General features: G+C 54.7%; 1 protein-coding gene across 21 annotated transcripts, besides 3 other annotated features; it reads right to left on the reverse strand.

The window, feature by feature from the left end:
* TNNT2 (troponin T2, cardiac type) lies at positions 545 to 19,211 on the reverse strand. Of its 21 annotated transcripts, none has more exons than XM_011509938.3 (17): positions 19,154 to 19,211; positions 14,745 to 14,790; positions 13,676 to 13,686; positions 13,558 to 13,572; positions 11,347 to 11,376; positions 9,693 to 9,758; positions 9,302 to 9,337; positions 8,369 to 8,402; positions 7,141 to 7,201; positions 6,722 to 6,838; positions 5,829 to 5,906; positions 4,827 to 4,937; positions 3,917 to 3,925; positions 3,444 to 3,553; positions 2,810 to 2,900; positions 1,154 to 1,194; positions 545 to 786 (listed from the first exon to the last, which is right to left on the reverse strand). In XM_011509938.3, exons 2-17 carry the CDS (start codon positions 14,783 to 14,785, stop codon positions 741 to 743), a joined length of 897 nt encoding a protein of 298 aa, XP_011508240.1. In that variant the 5' UTR covers positions 14,786 to 14,790; positions 19,154 to 19,211; the 3' UTR covers positions 545 to 740. The 21 variants fall into 21 exon arrangements, with proteins under 21 accessions (XP_011508240.1, XP_011508243.1, XP_011508241.1 ...); XM_011509941.3 differs by having other exon boundaries at positions 3,917 to 3,922; positions 9,302 to 9,334; positions 14,745 to 14,799; XM_011509939.2 differs by having other exon boundaries at positions 9,302 to 9,334; positions 14,745 to 14,799.
* Positions 17,741 to 18,237: an enhancer, noted in NCBI's record as "ENSG00000118194_1:199611961-199612457 (NCBI36/hg18 genome assembly) insert fragment". NCBI's record gives its function as "drives selective reporter gene expression in differentiated C2C12 myotubes {active_cell/tissue: C2C12}" and the evidence as "EXISTENCE:reporter gene assay evidence [ECO:0000049][PMID:22144875]".
* Positions 18,642 to 19,179: an enhancer, noted in NCBI's record as "H3K27ac-H3K4me1 hESC enhancer chr1:201346239-201346776 (GRCh37/hg19 assembly coordinates)". NCBI's record gives its function as "activates a minimal SCP1, AML or CMV promoter by ChIP-STARR-seq in primed H9 embryonic stem cells {active_cell/tissue: H9 hESC(primed)}" and the evidence as "EXISTENCE:reporter gene assay evidence [ECO:0000049][PMID:30033119]".
* Positions 19,180 to 19,717: an enhancer, noted in NCBI's record as "H3K27ac-H3K4me1 hESC enhancer chr1:201346777-201347314 (GRCh37/hg19 assembly coordinates)". NCBI's record gives its function as "activates a minimal SCP1, AML or CMV promoter by ChIP-STARR-seq in primed H9 embryonic stem cells {active_cell/tissue: H9 hESC(primed)}" and the evidence as "EXISTENCE:reporter gene assay evidence [ECO:0000049][PMID:30033119]".

The following is a 19,722-nucleotide window of genomic DNA, read 5'->3' on the forward strand; positions in this document are numbered from 1 at the left end:
CTGAAATCCATGCCACCAAGCTGTCCTCTTCAGCTCAGGACCCTGTGACTTAAGCCCTCGAGGATGTGCAGATCATGGGAGGGGGAAACTGAGGCACCCAGACTAACCCACACCTCTCAACAACTCAGGCCTGAATAGCTGCCCAATAAAACTGGCCTTCCTTCCTTCCTCAAGAGCTCCCTGTCCCTCAGACACCTGGTTCCTAGGGCCCTGGCTAGGAGGAGAAAGAGAACGGGAACCATCCGAAGAGTCCTGCATTGTTCTCCAGTGAGTGACTCATGCAGGGAACACTCTGTCCCCCTCAACAGCACTTTTCCCATGTGCTGTTTTGGTGACTCCCAGGAGCAATGATCTGAAGCCCTTTCCACTGCTCCTGCCTCCTGGGCTGCACCCTGGGCCCTCCACCCTCTCCCCAGCTAGAGGCAAGCAGGGAGACCAGACAGGGGAAAGCTCCTTAGAGCTTGGCAGACACCGGGGACCTGTGAGAGCAGGGTCTCGCCTCAGTTTCTCTCTCTCTCTGAAGGGGACGTGACAGAAATGCCAGTCAGTGTGTGGTGGCTTTTTATTACTGGTGTGGAGTGGGTGTGGGGGCAGGCAGGAGTGGTGGCTCCCACCTAGGCCAGCTCCCCATTTCCAAACAGGAGCTGCCTGGGGTGCCCAGGAGGGCCCGGGAACTGGGGGAGTGCAGGCCGGAGGCAGGTGCGAGCGAGGAGCAGATCTTTGGTGAAGGAGGCCAGGCTCTATTTCCAGCGCCCGGTGACTTTAGCCTTCCCGCGGGTCTTGGAGCTGCAGGGGAAGCAGGACGCAGTGACATGGAGACACAGGCAGGGTAGTAGGTCACCATGCGGCTGGGGTAGGACTGGGGTGCCAAAGGGGAGAGGAGCAGGCTGGAGCTGCCTCCAGGGGCAGAATAGGACAGCAGCCTGAGGCTGGAGGGAAGCTTCTCCGCCCCACATTTCACCCCCACCAGCAAGCAGAGGCCACAGGGAGAGAAGCACGAGGCCCCGGAGGAGCCAGAGAAGGAAACCTGTGGGCTGAAGCAGAGGAGGAAGGGCTGGGAGCCTGGGGCCCTCCAAGGAGGAATGGGATAGCTGGAAGGTAGGGAAGGAGGGGGCAGGGGGAGGGCTAGGCGAGAATGACCTCAGACACTTACACTTTCTGGTTATCGTTGATCCTGTTTCGGAGAACATTGATCTGCAAGAAAAGTGGGAAGGACAAAGAGCAACGCTGGAGCTGACTGGCTCAGGTCCCAGGTGGCCTGGGGATGGGGAGAAGGGGGCTGAGTGCAGCAGTGCAGGAGGAGAAGGAGGAGCATGGAAGAGTAGGAGGGGTTAGGATAGTTAAGGGTCAGGAGGGGCCCGTGTACCACAGGCAGAAGCCAAGGAGAAGCTTCCAGGATGCCTCATGGGCCTCCCACTGTGGGGTCCCAGGGCCATAATAGGTTCAGGATATGAGAGTCCCATAAGAAGGGCCTCTGAGAGCTGGGCACAAAGCTGGAGGCTGTGTCATGGAGCCCTCCTAGCAGCCCAGCCCCAGACCCCTCTGGGGCACCCCTGCCCAGCTGCCCACCATCCCGGAAGCTGTGCCCTTTGAGCAGTAGCATCCCCATGCACCACCCCTGCAGGGTGCTGCCCCAAAGTTTGGCAAATCTGTGTCCTGTTGGCCGGTGCAGAGTTCAGTGTGGAACCAAAAAAAGAGAAAAAAGTGGAAGGCACAGGACTAGAGAGGCCATAACAATGGCTGACACCTGCTGAGCATTTAGTGGGTGCCAGGCTCTGTCCTGAGCACCTTCCCAGATATGAACCCATAGGGCTGCTATGAGGGCATAGTAAGTTAATACATGGGACATGCTTGGAACAGTGGTTGGAACACTATAGCAATAATAACAATTAGTATTATCTCTGTAACCCTCACAATCACCCTCTGAAGTATATTGTAGTGTTACCTGTGGAAATGGAGGCAAGGAACAGTGGACTAACTCACCCAATGTCACACAGCCAGTGAGGGGCACAGGTAGAAATTCAACCCAGGCATTATGGCTCCAAAGTCCATGCCACTGTCACCAGGCAATACAGCCTCTCTCCGTATTGGGAGGTGGGAGTACCCTGTAGCCACTGCAGCCTGAGCCTGCCCAGCGAGGGGCTTCTTGCCCAGGGAGGAGTGGTTTGGCAGGAGCAGCAAAGGAGACCTTCCAGGGGAAGCTGAATTCTTCCCTTAGGTAGCAAAGAGGCCCTGGGACCGGGGCTCGGGGGTGGTGGGTAAGGAAGGACTGGCGCCCAGGTCTAAGCTCCGGTATGCAGCATCAGTGTCCTCTAAGCCATTTCCTTGCCTGGTGTCTGTTCACCTAAGACCCTCATTAGTGCACATAGGACTCCGAAAGACTGTGAGCTTGAGGCTCAGCCTAATTGTGCCCACACCAGGACCTTGGGTGTATGTGGGGAGAAGCACCTCTCTGTTGGCAGCACTCCCCTTCCACTGGGGGTCCTGGCTTGGTGCATCCTGGTCCTTGTAACCAGCTCAGATCACTGAGCTGCTGCCTCAACGTGTTGGAGACCCCCAGGGTTGGAACACCAGGAAAGTGTCTCTGCTCAGCCCCAGCGAGCTCTCAGACACTTCCAGCAAGCAGTCGTCAATGCGGTGGACATGGAACACTGCTGAAGGCCAGGCAGCAGGGGCAGATGCAGGAGCTGAAGGGGGCTGTTGGGGAATAGGGACAGGGACCCAGGGACCTGCAGCAGTATTACCGGACCCAGTGAACCAGGAGGAGTGTGAGATGGAGATGCTGGGCGGGGACAGCATGGCGGCCCACCTCATATTTCTGCTGCTTGAACTTCTCCTGCAGGTCGAACTTCTCTGCCTCCAAGTTATAGATGCTCTGCCACAGCTCCTTGGCCTTCTCCCTGCACGGGCAAGGGTGAGAATGGGGAGGTCCAGTAAGAAAGGGCCCTCCTGGGCCTCCGTCCTGGTCCCGGCCCAGCCCCCAGCATCCCAGCCCTCCTTCCCACCTCCAGGCCTGCCAAGGGTACCCCAGCCCACCCCCTGGGCCTGACCCAGCCTGGGGACCAGACGGCAGCACCCAGTGCTCAGGAACGGACACCAGGGACTGCCAGGGCAAAGTTCCAAGAACAAGCGGGGAGCAGGAGAAGCCCTTCTGGCGCAGGAGAGCATCTAGTTCAATCCCCTGTCCTGACACCCGTGTGCAGGTGGGTAGGTGAAGCTCAGAGGGGTGGGGCACCTGCTCAGTTCTCTTTCCCCATCAGCAAAGCCCAGAAAGGAGTTGGCCCGACCTGCTGGGGCCCAGCTCTGGTCCCACCAAACTTGCCATGGGAAAATATGTGAGGCAGTCCTGCCCTCTGGTGGCTCACAGCAAGAAGTGCCCTTGGCCCGACCCCTCCCAGAGCAGATGCGGGCAGTGCCCCAGGACCATTCCTCCCAGCCCCCACCTCAGCTGATCTTCATTCAGGTGGTCAATGGCCAGCACCTTCCTCCTCTCAGCCAGAATCTTCTTCTTCTTTTCCCGCTCAGTCTGCCTCTTCCCACTTTTCCGCTCTGTCTGGAGGGTGTGGGAAGCAGAGTAAACTGGCCAGATTGCCCCCTCCCTGTCCCCTAACCCTCCCCAAACCCCCTGGGGGTGGAGCAAGGCCTGCAGGAGGGCCAGGTTCTTATGCTCTTCTTCCTGCCACACCCCCCAACTACCAACTACATGTATTCCCTAGGGAAACTGAGGTAGGGGCAAGAAGGATCACGTCAGTCTCTTCCTTCTTTGCCTAACTAATCTCTTTCACCTCTCACCAGCTTCCCCCCTCCCCAGCCAGCCCAATCTCTTCACTCCTCCCCTCCAGCAAGGCGCCTTCCCCTCCCAGGGAGCTCTCCAAAACTATGGGGAGGAAGAAGGCTTGAGGTTTTTGGTACCCACCTGGGCCTGCTAAACCGGGAAACCATGAGAGAGAGGCCCATAGAAAAAGACCAAGACGGCAACAGAGACACAGAGAGAAGGCAGGAAGACAAAGGCAAGGAGAGACATGGAAGAGAAGATTCAGATACTCGCTGTAGTCAGCCGGGTTTACTAGGACGTGGGTCTGAGGGTTACAGCAGGGGCTGTTCGGTAGCATGAAGACTTTGATGCCAAAGTCTTGGCTGGTGTGGTCACCATGGGGGCAGAGGCAGGGGGTGGCCTAGTCCTGAGCTAGGGACTAAGCTGGAAATCTAAGAAAATGTTTTGATTCCTTCACTACCTAGAGAAAATCAATTTCACATATCCCTCCTCCCTCGAGAATGGAGGACCTAGGAGGAATGGGGCACAAAAGTTAGGGATCGAGAGTGAGTTTCCAGGAACAAACAACCTCACATCTGTGTGGCACATAGACACTTTCCATGGTAGCTCATTTGAGCTTCTCAAAGCATCAAGGCAGGCAATATGAGTGCCAGTTGAGGAAACCGAGGCTCAGAGGTTGCAAAAGGTCACACAACTGTATGTGGCAGAGCTGGGTCTCCAACTAGAGCTCTGACTCTAGGCACAAGGCTCTTCCAGCTGCACCCAGCCTCCTTGGGGGCTCCTGAGCACTGCTGGAGCCAGGCATGGGGGGCACCATTGGTGCCCCAGGCTCTGCCTGTAGCCCCCTACCCCAGCAAGCCCCTCCTAGTGCAAGCCGCGGTCAGGCTGAAAACCAGCTCAGGGCTGGGCATGAGGAGACCTCAGTCTTCCACCCACAGCAGCTGGGAATCTCTTCCTGGGACCTGACCTAAAGTCTACCTGCTGCAGTGGACACCTCATTCCTCAGGGCTATACTAGGATCTCCTGGCAACCCCTGCTGCTCCCTACCTACCTTCTGGATGTAACCCCCAAAATGCATCATGTTGGACAAAGCCTTCTTCTTCCGGGCCTCATCCTCAGCCTTCCTCCTGTTCTCCTCCTCCTCTCGTCGAGCCCTCTCTTCCTGATTTACAGCAGGGAGGAAGAAAGCAAATTAGGGGAAAGGATTGGAAACCCTGATTCTGGGCTGAAGCTTGTGGTCTTTATGGGTGAGTTCAGCTTTCTCTCCGCTCAGCAAGGAGCTTTCTGAGAGGGTAGCTCCCAGCACAGTGCTGGCCCACAGGAGTCCACTGACTGAGAAATGACTGCGTGATTGAATGAGGTCCTGATTCCCAAATGTGAGGTCTCGTCATCCCCTTAAGCTGGGAGTGCCCCTGGAAGACCTGTTGCTCTGGAAATGCCTTCAGCAGCTGCACAGGAAGAGAGCTACGGGGCCTTCGGTTCCCACGAAGTCTGCACTGGGGAAGGGATGAGGGCTGGAGAGTCTTATAAAATAACACGTTCATAAGGACGCAGGCATTTCTGTCTTGTTTGCTGATGTATTATCAGAGCCAAGACAATGCCCAGCACTTCCTAGGTTGATATTGATATTGTCTCTTTTTTTTCCTTTTTTTTTTTTTTTGAGTTGGAGTTTCACTCTTGTTGCCCAGGCTAGAGTGCAATGGCATGACCTCGGCTCACTGCAACCTTGCCTCCTGGGTTCAAGCGATTCTCCTGCCTCAGCCTCCTGAGTAGCTAGGATGACCGGCATGTGCCACCACGCCTGGCTAATTTTGTATTTTTAGTAGAGACAGGGTTTCTCCGTTGGTCAGGATGGTCTCGAACTCCCAACCTCAAGTGATCTACCCGCCTTGGCCTCCCAAAGTGCTGGGATTACAGGCGTGAGCCACCGCACCCGGCCAATATTGTCTCTTGACTGATTTCATTCATGTTGATGAATAGAGAGGGGCCTGGGGGCCCAGCAGGAGCTGGGAGCATGGGGGGCCTCCATGGGCCTGGGCTAGGGGTCACTCACAGCCAGGCGGTTCTGCCGCTCCTTCTCCCGCTCATTCCGGATGCGCTGCTGCTCGGCCCGCTCTGCCCGACGTCTCTCCTAAGGAGAAGAGGCAAAGCCCACCCAGGTGTGCATAGGGAGAAGGTGACATCGCAGGTACAGAAACCTGCATGGGGTGGCAAGGGAATTCCTGGGGGAGGGTTCCTTCCAGAGTCTTGAAGCAATGGTGCCCGGCCTCCAAGGGCCTCCACTTTCAACCAGCTCCACGGACGTGCACACCAGGGTACCTGCAGTGACCCACCTCCAACATTCCTCATGGTGAGACTGCCCTCCACAACTGGGAGACATCAGGCAGGCTCCTTCTGGGCTCTGCCCCCACCTCCATCCCACCCTGCCCTGGCAGCTGCTCTGTGCCATATGCTTGGATAGATGGCCAAGTCATTGCTCCAGCCAGAGCAGCATGTCTGTGGGAAGGCAAGTTTGATGGGGAGAAACAAAAGCAATCAAAGCAGCCTCCACGCTCTGCAGGAGAAGGATGTGGGATTCTGCAGGTCACACTCCCCTTCATCTGCGGGGGAAGAGGAGGCAAGGGCAGGGGTGGCGCAGCAGGCCTGTGACCAATCAGTCCACAGCCCGGGCCTGAATTAGGCCCTGGGGGAGGCCTGAAACAGATCAGACTCAGCTCTGGCAGTCAAGGAGCATCCAGTAGGATGGGGAGGGAAGGCAGGGACCCGAGAAACCAGTCAGGGCTGCAGGAGCTGTGCAGAATGCTGGAGGGCCTCTGAAGGAGACCTCACACCTAGCTGGGTTTGAGGCGCCGAGGAAGGCTGTCTGGAGGAGGTGGGGCCTCACAAAAGGGATGGAGGACAGACTGGGCCATCAGAGAATGTTAGGTGGGCAGACTGGACACCTACGATCCTGTCTTTGAGAGAAACGAGCTCCTCCTCCTCTTTCTTCCTGTTCTCAAAGTGAGCCTCGATCAGCGCCTGCAACTCATTCAGGTCCTTCTCCATGCGCTTCCGGTGGATGTCCTGTGGGTGGACCGCTGCGGCTCAGAGGCTGCCACTCCAAAGAGTCCAGAGGAGAGATGGGTGGGCTAGACACCCCCCAACGCAGTGCAAAAGACCTCTGGCAGGGCCTGGCGCCTGGCCAGGGAAGGGGTAACTGTGGCCTGAACCCAGGACCACGCTCATGGATGGGCACCCAGCCTGGCTGGTGCTGCACCCCATCCCACCTATGCTCTACCCCAGCCCAAGGTCACAAAATCTCTGTCACTGAGGGCCCTTGGGACTATCCCCAGCCCAGGCCTACTCAACCCACAGCCACCGCTTACATCAAAGTCCACTCTCTCTCCATCGGGGATCTTGGGAGGCACCAAGTTGGGCATGAACGACCTGTTGGAGAGAGGAATAGTCAGCATCAGCCCCATTCTGGACCCAGGGACTGAGGGTGTCCAGGACAGGCAGGGCCCTGATCCTTCCTAGAGAATCTTCCAGCACTGCCCCGACCAACCACAGCAATGATAGTAACACTGACGTCAACAATGGCAGTCCTCAGCCTTGCTCAGCACCTGGGAATACACAAAGCTCTTTCACATATGCTATTTCACTTCATGCTCATGATATGCCCATGAAGTGGGTACCGTTAATCTCACTTAGGAGAACTGAGGCTCAGGGAGGTAGAATGACTTGCTCAAAGCCACACAACTTGGAATCAAAGAAGCTGTGACAAGATGCCATGCTTCTTGGACTTCAAATCCCCTGGTGGACCCCGCAGAAACTGGCCATGAACCTGGGAGTCTTGCAGTTTGGTCCTGGTCCCAACACATACTGAGACCCAGGGGGTTCTCTGATTCTTCATGTCCCCATCTGCCCTCAGGTGTGTGGAGCTGAAATGAGATACCGCAGTGCACAAGAGGCCAGGAAGGGGGAAGGCACTGGGCAAATAAATGGATCTGGGATGTCTTGGGCTGGTTTCAGAAGGCCCCACTGAAATGGGAAGAGCCTGTGAGTGGGCAGAGGTGCCATGGGTCAACCTCTGCTGGCAGGGTTGGCATCATAAAAAGGGAAATGCTCCCTATCCCCCAGCCCCCCCCAGCACACACCACCTTCAGGTGGGCTTCACGTGTGTGGCACCAAGCCGTCCTGCCCTCTCTCAGCTCTCTGAAGCCGCCATGCCTATGCTGGCACGGTTTCATTGTTTGGCTCCCCACAATTTGCTTCCCTTAATCCCAAGGTCCCACCTCGGCCATGGAGGAGGGTGTTCTGGCCATACTGTGAGAGAGGAGAGTGTCCGTTCAGGGCCCTTCCTCTAGAAGAACATAGCCCCATCCCTGCTAGGGTGCACGATTGGTGATGGAGTGTTGGGTGGAATTCAGCCCTCACTCACTCCCTTAGGAAGAGACGCTTGTGCAGTACACAACTTGTACAACTGTACTGTGGTGCTCTGTGCCCACCAAACCCCCAGCCCGTGTCCACTGCACCATACTGCACCCCGTTCCATCATCATCCTCTCTCCCTGAGCCTCTGCTCCCGGCTCTACCCAGGTGCCTCCCCACTCACCTGGGCTTTGGTTTGGACTCCTCCATTGGGCCATCTGGAGGAGATAGAAGCACACAGCCATGGGTCAGGGGGCCCCAGAAGTGGTCCCAACTCCGCCCTCGATGAGCTAGATCCCTGTGGATTTCCATTTCCCCATCTGCACAGTGAGTCCCTCCCGGCACTGGGGAGCCCTGATTCCAGAAGCATCCAGGAGAATGAAGGCAGCGGGGGCTGCAGATGCCACACTCCCCCTCCCATAGAGTTCTGCAGGGCACACACTCACGCAGTGTGGAACTTCACACAAAGCCTTCTCTCACTCACCAGTTCTGGGCAAAGCAATTTTGCTTCTCTTGTGCTTCACAGTGACAAGGCCTTTGGAAAGGTCCCCAAGGGTCCTGGCCCTAGAATCCCCTCCCAGGTCTTTGCCTTCTTTGTTACCCCTTGGACTTCCCGGTGGCCACAGGGCAGAAGCTGATGACATGATTCCAAGCCCCAGCTGGTTGTCCCCTCCCCTTTGGAGAAGTGACTGGGACCACTTAGAACCCTGGTGAAGGCTGCAGCATGACGATGACTGCAGCAATGACCCACCATGACCATCTATGCATTGGGATTTCATCCTACGGACACCACATCCTACAAGTGATTTCACCTAAGCTCTAGGAGCTTCATGTGTGGATATGACTTCTGGGTCCCATTGCTCTGTCCAGACCAGGGGGCTGGACAATGGTCCCCTCTCCCACTGGGTGCCACCAATGCAACTTCTCTGGGAGAAGGGGCAAAGTTGAAAGCTCAACATCTAAAACTTTGGAAGTGCCACCAAGTTCTGTCCTCTCCTCTCCCAAACCCTCTCAGTGCACATCCACTTCCCTGGAAAGAGCACTGTGGGCATTCTCCTCCAAAGCTGCTGTGAGGGGTTCCTTTGCCTCCCTTGTACCTCTCTCCTGATATCCTTACCTTCAGCCTCCTTTGCTTCCTCTTCTTCTTCATCTTCTAAATGAAACACGAGAAATCAATCAAGGTCCTTGTTCTGAGCTCAAGTCCCCCCCTCCGCCACCAGCAAGAGCCTTCCCCACAGATAAGCCCTAGCCAAGATGCACTCTGTTGGTTTTTGGGGTTACAGAGCTGTCTCTCACACACACATTCCCCTGGACCCAAGACTGCCTGACACAAGAGAAGCGCTGGGTCAACGTTTGTTGATTGGGCAATCAATGGTTGAATCTTAGTCAATAGGAGAGTCAGGTGCACATGGGAAAGCCTGTTCTGGGGGGTTTCTTACTGCCTCAGGAATGGCTCCAGGGGCTCTCGCCACCCCCTGAGGCCCCTGCACCCTCAACCAGAGACTTACCTTCTGCCCTGGTCTCCTCGGTCTCAGCCTCTGCTTCAGCATCCTCTTCCGCTGCCTCCTCCTGCTCTGGAGAAGTGAAGCAGACAGAGTGAAGAAGCAGGCCCCACTCATGCTATCAGGCAGAACCCAGAGCAGAGAATGGGCAGCGGGGAGTGGGGATGGGGGTCAAGACGTCTAGGTCCAGATGAATTTGGGGGCAACCAACGTGCTGGGGGGCTGCCATTCTTGGTTTTGACTGTCGGCTACCTCCCGCCACCCAGCTTAGCCCCACTCATCCCGGCAACCTCCCTGATGATGGGACTCCACCTCATTCCCCAACTTTCCAGCCCAGAAGTTCCACCCCGTGTCTGGCACCACAGAACATGCTCTGCTTAAGCCGAGGTGTCCAGAAGCTCCTGTCCTGAACCTAGTGACTCTAGACACCCTCAATCCACATCTCAAAGAAACCAAAAGAGTACGACTGTGTGGCTGGATGGCACACTCAATATCTGGATCTTCGTACTATCCAGAAAGTGGGCAGGATTTTTCTATTTTCATCTATTTGTTTGGCAGGATGTGGCCCCCATCTCACTCAGGCACTTGGTGTAGACAGACAGACAAACAGATAAGGGAGACAGGATGCCGCCTGGCCTGGGCTGTGCCTGTAGGAAGTGTTCTGTGATGCCTGTTCACTGATGCACTGGGAAGTGGGTGCCTCTTGGCAGAGGGAGAAGAAAAACCTCAGACAGGAGGAAGACACCATCGTGGGAGAAGGGTTGGCCTTCATTCCCTCTGTCCTCCCTTCCCAGGTCTGAGTCCTCTCTGAAGCCTGGAGATGCCTTTTATTTGATCCCTGCAGGAGTCTTACCTCAAAATGATCCTTCTAGAAAGTGTGAAAGCAGAGGGCTAGCGAGGAAGGACATGGCCATTGTGGGGTCTACCTTTAGGCCATCTTGTTCACACCTCTGCCACCTCATCTGACGTGTCATTTCTCTATATAATATACCCCAGCCCACCCAGTGGCCATGCAACATCCCAAGGATGGGGAGCTTACTGCCTCCCCAACCCACCTACTGCATCTTGAGATATAGCTGTCAGAACGCACTTTCTAAAATTAAGCCCTGGTCTCACTCCCTTGCCTTGGTCCTGTGCTCCCCATCAGCAGGGCGCATCTGAAGGCTGACGTCATGTCCTTCCTGCTCTGGCTATTTCCAGTCTCCCTGGCTGCTCTCCAGAGGACTCTGTCCCCAGACCCCCCAACCAACACCTGGCCACCCTGCTTGGTGCTGTCCAGCTCCTAAGGAGGGCCCAGCATGGAACACTGGGGTGTGCGCGGGGGCAGGGTGGCGCTGCTGTCTTCCAGGTGCCAGGTCCCCTCTATGGCCACATTTGGAGCAGCTTGGGAGACCAGCTAGCCTTGGTCCCTCCCACCACCCAACCCAGGGGAAGGATCCAGGAACCAGGAAGAGGAGCCAGTGGCCCTGAAGTTCAGGCATGATGATCAGCTTGGAACTGTGATCCTGGCCCCTGGGAGGCAGGGGAGGAAACGACTGACCCACTCCGTCCCTGCCGCCTACTCACACCCCCCAGCCCCCAGAACAGGGCCCCTGGACAAGGAGGCTGCACTTGGGACAGCAGGCAGCAGAAAGCACCACAGAAGGAAAGGCTGTACTACCGTCTTCGTCCTCTCTCCAGTCCTCCTCTTCTGAGGTTCAGGGAGTGGCCGCAGCGGAGGGGAAAAGCGAGACAGGTTAGTCTGGGAGCAGAGAGCCCGCGGCAGGAGCAGCCACCCAGCGCAGTGGTTTTAAGAGTGTGGGCTTTGGAGTTAGGCCGGCATTCCAATTCCCAAGCCACTACTTTCCAGCAACAGGGGCAACTCTCAGTTACTTCCCTGAGCCTCAGGTGCCTCATCAGTAAAATGGGAATCATTCTACTCACTTCTCAGCCGTGGTGAGGACTGAATGACCTAGCGTGCATAGAGCGCCCAGCAGGTGCCTGGCACAAGAGGAGCATGCGATCTGTGGTAACTGCAATGCCTCTAGACGACAGAGCCTTGGCCTCCTTCTTACTAAGACAGAGGCCCCTAAAGAGCAGAGAGTGGGGGACAATTCTCTTCCATCAAATTTCCTGCCCTCAACGAGCCTGCCCATGTTCCTGCTCTGAATGAGGCTCTTGGGTATCCTGCAAACTATGTCCAGTTTCCAGGAGTCACACTTTAGAAAGCCTCATTGGAGAGCCTGGCCCCAGGGGAGATTTGCCCGGCCTGTTGGGAGGATGCTGCCCCATCTAAGAAGGGTCCAGCATTATAAATCTAAGGAAAGAGGCTGCATCTACAACAGTTGTTCTACGTACAAATATCTGCCCAAAAAAACAGTTCCAGCAAGTGGAACAATTCCTCTCCTGGAAGAAGGACACCTGGCATTATCTATCCTGCAGGCTTAGTGGACACCCATCTAGACGTTGCTCTCTCTTGATCATTTGCAGCCAGATCCTCAACTGTGTGGGAGGCAAGTCTCGTCTATTCATGGCAAGCAAGGCAGATGCTACACGGCTCAGGCCCCAGCACAGTGGAGAATGACTCTGCTAACTCACAGCCAAATTCTACTGTGTGTGGCAGGCAGATTGGTCCCAAATCCAGAGATCTATGTCTCAAACTCCACCACCCTAAACCTGTTATAAGGAAGTGGAAAATCCTCCAAAACAAAGGAAGGGATATCATATCAAGAGTCTGTTCAGGGAACACAGCAGAATTTGGAGCCAGTTAGATTTTTTATTCAAAAATATATTTCTGATAGCTTCTGAAGTATCTGGTGTTCCTTAAAAACCAAAAAAGACGCCTGTGGCCTCTTTCAGTTTCTCCTGTGAATTTCTCTTCTGTCTCCTCTTTGGCCAGACAGCCCTGGAACAGCCCTAAATGTGCAGGAGGGTCCCCATTTTCCCTAGGAGCCATGGGGAGCAAGGGCGGGGCCACCTGGGCTCCCCCCTTGGACCTTCATAGAGACCCTTCTCCTAATATCTACATGCCACATGCTGAAGTGATACCTGAGCCACTAAAAGGCAGGGTCCACCTGCCTGGGGTGCAGGGGGAGGACTGGAGTGAAGCCTCTGAGTCATTTCCATGTGCCAAGCTCTCAGGAAGAAGGGAAGGTGAGGGCGTTCTTTCAGGGAGATGTGGGACCCACAGCTGAGGAGGGCGATGGGTTAACCGATCAGCATAGGAGCAGCAAGAGGGGCCTCTGCAAGCTCAGAATCATGACAAATCTTCATGCCGAGATAAGACGTCTCAGATCACTGAGCAATTTCATACTCACAATCGCATTTGAGAAATTACTAAATGGAATCTTTTGGGGCATATCATGGCATTGTGGTTATGGTTTTTAAGTAGTGCTTATCTCTTAGAGATACGGTGTAGCGAAATCTTGAAGCGTGAACTGACATGGTGCCTGGGAACAATTTTGGATGTCTGCTCCAAAATAACTGGTGGAAGGTGGAGTATAGAGGAAAGAAGACTGGCCCTAAGATGATGATTGTTGAAGCTGGTAATGGGTACCTTGGGCAGGGGGGGCCATTATTATTATTATTGCTACCTTTATGTGCATTTAAAATTTCCCATGATAAAAGGGAGAAGAAGCAAAAAAAATTGGGAAAAGTGATCAGTGTGTTTGAAGCAAATGGCAGACAGAAGAGACAGGTTTAAATCGTTTGCCTCAAGACCCGAGCAACCCAGGTAGGACTGATTCCCATTTTAGAAGGCACTGTTGTTGGAGGATCTTGCTCAGCTGAGAGTGAGGAGCAGGGACAGATGAGCTGCTTTCCCAGGGCTCCCAGGATTTCCACATTGCTGAGCCTGCCCCTTTCTGGCTCTCCACCTGCCTGAGGCACATACCTTCAACAGCTGCTTCTGCTCAGAAGAGAAGTCCAGGCAGCAAGAGAAGAGAGAAGAGGTGGGTCAGTTTCGAACCAGGCTGTCTTTGATCCAAATGAGTACACACGTTTACGCTTACCTTCCTGCTCCCTGAGAGCAACAGGAAACACTGTCAGTAGCTCGCACACAAGCACATGCAAACACACACGCCTGCACACACATGCACACACTGGCCTTTCCCCAAAGATAATCCCCCTTTCTTTTCCCTTGTTGCCTAGTGGAGTCCACGCTGCCCTGCCCACCTTGCAATGACACCCACTAGCCTGGCCTGCCGTTCTCATGCAGGGCTGCCTCCTACCATCCTCCGCAAGCCTCCGCCCCAGCCAGCTTGGTCTCACCAGCGTTCTGCTCACTTACTCTTTCCATCTTTGCCCAAGCTGTACCCCTTTCTAGAAAGTCCTGCCCTCTCCCAAATCTCTTATCTTTCCAAATTCTACACAGGTAAGACCTGCCTTCTCCACACAGCCCCCTGACTATTCCAGCCCCTGATCTCCCTCTCCTCAGAACTCCTACACTACCAACAGCCCGCCCTCCACACCAGGCCCCCAGTTGCTAATTTCTTCTCCCAGTTTATGTCTTAACATCTCAACAAGAGTAAGTTCTGTGAGGGCAGTAGCCGTGCCTATACCTCTGTCTCCTCCCTGGTGACCACTATCCTCTGTAGTTATTGGATTGGCTGTGTCCCACCCCCTGGTTTCCCTCTGGGATAGGACTGTGGGCAGGGCACTGTCATGAGAGAGTAGGGATCCAAGACAGGGTGATAACACTGGGTTCTGAGCTGGGGTTTGGGGGGCATAATCAGCTCTGTGCCTCTGGAGAGTCACTGAACCTTCCTCAGTCAGTTTCAGGAGACCCAACATCTCAGCTTCTCTGTTCATGGCCCCTAGCCAAGACTGGCCAAGGACACTGATGACCCTGGAGCTGAACCTCTGTGCTTCCCGAAGTCTCTCGGCCTGTGCTCTGCCTGGGATCTACAACCCAGGGGTACAGGAGTGGAAAGGAAATGGCTATATCTCTCCTCGGGGTGCCCAAAACACACACAGCTACTTCTACCCAGAATCCGAGGGACAGCTGGGAGGCTCCTGGACCAGGTGTCAGGGCAGCGGCGGGAGAGGACCCCACTCAGGCAAGATGCTCCAGATACTCACTCCTCCTCGTACTCTTCCACCACCTCTTCTATGTCAGACATGGTCTCTGCTCTCCCTCCAAAAGGAGAAAAAAGTCAGTGCAGGTACAAAGGGAAGCCTGCCTTCCTCAGAAGAGCTCTGGCCCCCGTTGTACAGAGATCAGCGAGGCCTAGGGTGAATCTAGTTCCACCCCTCATGAGCTGTGTGACCTGCAACAAAAAGCCTGTTTTCTCCCCTGCTGGGGGAGATAGTGACACCCACATGGCAGCAAGGCCACCTGCTGATGTCCACTTCGTTCCTTGCCCCTGAACAGGCAATACTGCCTGGGATGCTGCATTTCCATTTGTGACACTCAAGACAATGTCTGCAGTTTCTCAACCTTTCCATCCACTCTGCCCACCCCCACTCCACAGGATCTGTTCAGCACTGTACAAATCTTCACTGCACAAAGCCTCACTGCAGCCTCAACCTTCTGGGCTCAAGCGATTCTCCCACCTCAGCCTCCTGAGTTGCTGGGACTATAGTTGTGCACCACCATGCCCGACTAATTTTTGTATTTTTAGTAAAGCTGGGATTTTGCCACATTGCCCAGGCTGTTTCGAACTCCCAGGCTCAAGGGATCCTCCTGCCTCAGCCTCTCGAAGTGCTGAGATTACAGGCGTGAGCCACCACACCCATTCCATGTGTGCTGGACAAAAGTGAGACCTGGACAAAAGGTCTTTGGGCACCCCAAGAGACTGGCCTGGACAAATGAGTGAGAACTTGTCTCTAAATAAATAAATCAAAGCACACAGCGGGGATCCTTGTGGTTTGGGATCTTTTCAGTATGTAGACTGTGGTGATGGATACGTGAACCTCCACAGGTTAAAGTTGTTTAGAGTTTCACATACACATGGTGCAATTGTGGGCAAATCTGAATAAGATCATAGATTGATTGTATTGATGTCCAATCTTGGTTTTGATATAGTACTAATTTTGCAAATGTTGCCCTCGGGAGAAACTAGGCACCGTGTGTAAACGCTCGTTATTAAAGACAACTGTGTACTAGTCTTTAATTATGTCAATGAAAATTCCGATTAAAAAATGTTCCCCCAGGGAACTCATTCTGAGATCATCTTCTCACTGCACTGGGAACAGATAATCTAGATTCAGATCCTCTTCCATTAGCTTGCCGAGGGTGTTTAGGCGAGTCTTTTTAACATCTCCAAACCTCAGTCCTTTCTCTGTCTCATGGAGATAAAGTGTACACATCCTGGCTACTCAGGGTCTTTACGAGGCTCCAGTTGACATTAACAAAAGGGGAAGGCATTAGGCAACATCAGGTGTTACAATGAGCATGTAATCACAGGGAGGGGGCAGAGAGCAAGCACTTGAGTGTGAGACTAATCTCGTTTTGAATGCTGGCTCCAGCATGCGTTTGCCTGCGACCTTGGCAAGGTCACTTAACCTCCCCACATCTCAGCTCTCTTTGCTGTGAAATTACTGCTCTTCTTGGGTAGGTGTGAGGAACAGAGGTAGTGTGAAGTGTAGGCATTCAGCTAATAACTACTATGACCCAACCCTCCGGGGCCATGACAGTGCACTGCTCCAGGGACACAATCACGTTGTTTGAAACGTGAACAGCAGCCTCTGTTATAGTGCAATATGCCAGCTCCACAGCCTTCCTGATGTTGGCTTCCAAGGGAGAGAATGGACAGGGTGATGTGAGAGTGAGGCTAAAGTGAGGCGGGAGAAGAATCCAAATGATGCTCAGGACCACCCTCCAATGCTCCTCCCCTGCTGCCCACCTCCTGCCCCACTCACGCGTGCCAGTGCTGCAGCACCAATTTCAGACCCAAGCCTCAGGATGAGGACAGAGGCACATAGACAGTCCTGCTCACTCCCTCATCACCTCTCCCTGCACATCCCCCCCATAGTGGCTGAGACCAATCCCAGGCACTCATCTGTGGACATCCAGCAAGAGCCAGGGCTCTGGTTGGGTGGGGTGATGTCCAGAGGCTGAGCCATTCCAAGGGAGCTGCCACTGCCCAGCTGCCCCTCCAGGTGGAGGCTTCCCCAGACTCAGCACCCACTGCAGCCCTGGATTGATTGTCTTCAGACCCTGTTCCCATTATGTCCAGTTCTGCTGGGTTAGAAACAAGCATGGCTGCAGCAGAGTGGTCCTTCCGCTGCTCCCTCTGCTGGAGCAGGGTGAGGACAGTGAGGGAGGAGCCTTGTTTACAAGGAGCTCTGAACCGCAGCTCTGAGCCACTTTTTTGCCCCAACCCCCAGGGTGGGGTGAGTGGGTGAGAAGAAGAGACATCAAATGTGCGAGGTGCTATAATGCGGGATCAAGCCTCATTCTGCTGAAAAAAAGACTCAAACCCCAGAGGTTCTCCAAATAGGTCTTAGGATGAGAGTGGCCAAAGAGAATAGCCTTCCTAACCCTAGGATGGGTGGGGCTGACAATTGTTACCCAAAGCCCCAGGGGAGCGGCCAGAACTAGTGACTTGAGAACTTGAGGAGCTCCTACCTGAGCCCCAGGAGAAGCTTGTCCCTCAGTGGGAGGGAGAAAATTCTCAGAGGAACCGTGCATGGCCAGCCTGGGCGCATAGCTTCTAGCTTTCTCTCTCCTCTCCTACTCTGCCCTTCCACCAGTTCAGAGCCACTGGGCATGGTGCTGGGGCCTCACAGGAGGACAGAGCAGCTTGGACTCCTCTCCCTGTTCCTGGGGGCACCATCCAGCTCCCAAAAATAGCATGCAGACATGCAGGATGGAGGAGGGCTTTCAGCCAGCCCAGAGGACACCACCATGCCAGTGGCTCAAAGGCAGGACCTGATGCAGGGGAAAGAGGTGGGCTGAGACTGGGGGCTGCAGAATGGGAGAGAGTCAAGAACCTGGCAGGGCAAGGAACCAGAATGTCCTGAAACACCTGTGTCCTCACACCCAAGTCCCACCCACTTCCACAGGCAGCTTTCTAGCCTAATGCATTCATAGCCAACACGTGTTGGAAGCCTAACACGTTCACAGGGTCACCTTTCTTGGGGAGTAAAGCAAAGACAATAGAAGGCATAAGGCATACTGACCTTGGGGTCAAAAAATCTGGGCTTAAAACCCAGATTTTGCTGTGTGGCCTTATTTAAGTCACCTAGCCTCTCTGACTTCAGTTAACCAACTACAAAGCAGGAGAGCCTTGAGTTCTGTCCCTGTAGAAACAGTCTCCGAGTTTCTGAGAAACACAGGCCCCACCCCTCAGTCCTTGTCCCCAGCACTCGAATGGGATTTTCCTAAGCCAACAGCTGTTAGCCCACCAGGAGAGCGGGGGTAAGGGGATGGGGAGAGGGCAGGAAGAGTGGAAGTGGGGGTCAGAAATAGGAGGCAGCCAGCAACCTGATCCTCTCAGATTCCACTTTTGCAGAGAGAAGGAAGATTCGCCCTCTAAGACATGGGTCAGAAAAGGAATTTGGGAGGGCAGGTAGCTTCCCGGCTACAGCAGGCCAGGAATGTGCTCTGAAATTCCTTACACACCAGGCAACCCCCTCCCTGAATAGTCCTCAGCCTGCCCAGGAGAAACTAGAAACCAAGGGAATCTTTCTCTACCACTCCTGGGCACAGAGCAAGGCTTGTCCCAAGATGGGGTGTTGGGGTGGGATGGGACAAGGGTTACACTTACGGGGGCCCAGGTTAAACCCTTTAATGCCAACCAGCTGGGCTCACACCCAAGGACAGGTTCTCCCAGTGGGGCCTTTCCCCATCTGCCCCCCAAGTGCAGCTCAGCTCAGGGTCTGGGAGCTCAGCTCAGCTCTGGGAGGGAATGGCACTGAGTCAGCGGCATCAAATGGAATTCCCGCGTTGGCCTGGAGAGGCGCTGCAGAGGACCCTGCACATCTGGTCGTTCTCAGTACTTCCAGGACAGTTTCTGAGTTCCTAGCCTTGAGAATATGACCAGGAGACTCACTTGACTGACAGGGCTGCAGTCTCGCTCTGCTCCCTGGGACTCAAGAAGGACCTGACTGGAAAGGTATAGGTGACCCTCGGCCTGGAACAAGCAATTTAGGGGAGTCTCTGTTGGTTAGAGCCTCATTGTATTTAGAGCAGGCAGAGGCCTAGCAAATATTTAGCCCACTCTACAGATGAGAAAACTGAGGCCTGGGGAGGGAAAGTGACTCATCCAAGAGTTTAAACTCTACATCTTTAGTGGCAGGTCCAGGACTCCAACCCTAGTCTCCAATGGCTACCATGGGATTCTCTCTTTCTCTCTGCTCTATTGTACCAATCTTGGAGCCCAGACCTGGCAACCTGTCCTCTGAAGTGTGGCCTCCACCAGGAGGGGCCATGGACTTCTGCGGACACAGGCAGACTCTGGGTAAATATGCCAGGGCCCAAGACCCTCACATCTCCCCGTCCATTCTCTGCTCTCCTCTTCCCCAGAGCCCTGCCCGAGCCTTACCTCAGAACAGCAGCTGCCGACAGATCCTGGAGGCGTCTGCTCAGTCTCAGCGGGGACTGGGTGAGGCAGAGGATGGAGAGGGCTTTAAGCAGGCATGTGGGCTGGGGCCTGGTGAGCCAGCCCTGCGGAGGGAGGAATGTGCGACAGGGGACGGGTGGGGCAGGGGGATGGCGGTGGGGGTGGGGGGTGTTGGCTGCTATTTTGGCAGGTGCCAGGGACAAGGCTACAGGAACATGTACCCCACGCCATATAAGCCCATGTGGTCCTCCAGCTGCTCAGATAAGCTATTTAAAACCAGAGCAGATATGCAGGGAACAGTCATGCAACATAAACCAGCTGTCCCTCTTGAGAATCCTGATAAAGCAGAGGCCAGCAACCCAGGCCTGGGAGGGCCAGCTGGGAGCAGGGTTGGGGGGCAGAAGGCAACCTCCAAGACACTCCATAAGTCTCAGCACCAGAATCTTGGAAGGCAGAGGGCAAGAGTTATGTGCTGCTCCACTTGAACTGATGCTGGGGGTAAAGACATCTTCCAGGCTACTGGCTCCTAATGGACTGAGCAGCCTTAGGCA

Source organism: Homo sapiens, chromosome 1, assembly GCF_000001405.40.
Source record: "Homo sapiens chromosome 1, GRCh38.p14 Primary Assembly".
In the NCBI taxonomy this organism is placed as follows: Eukaryota; Metazoa; Chordata; class Mammalia; order Primates; family Hominidae; genus Homo; species Homo sapiens.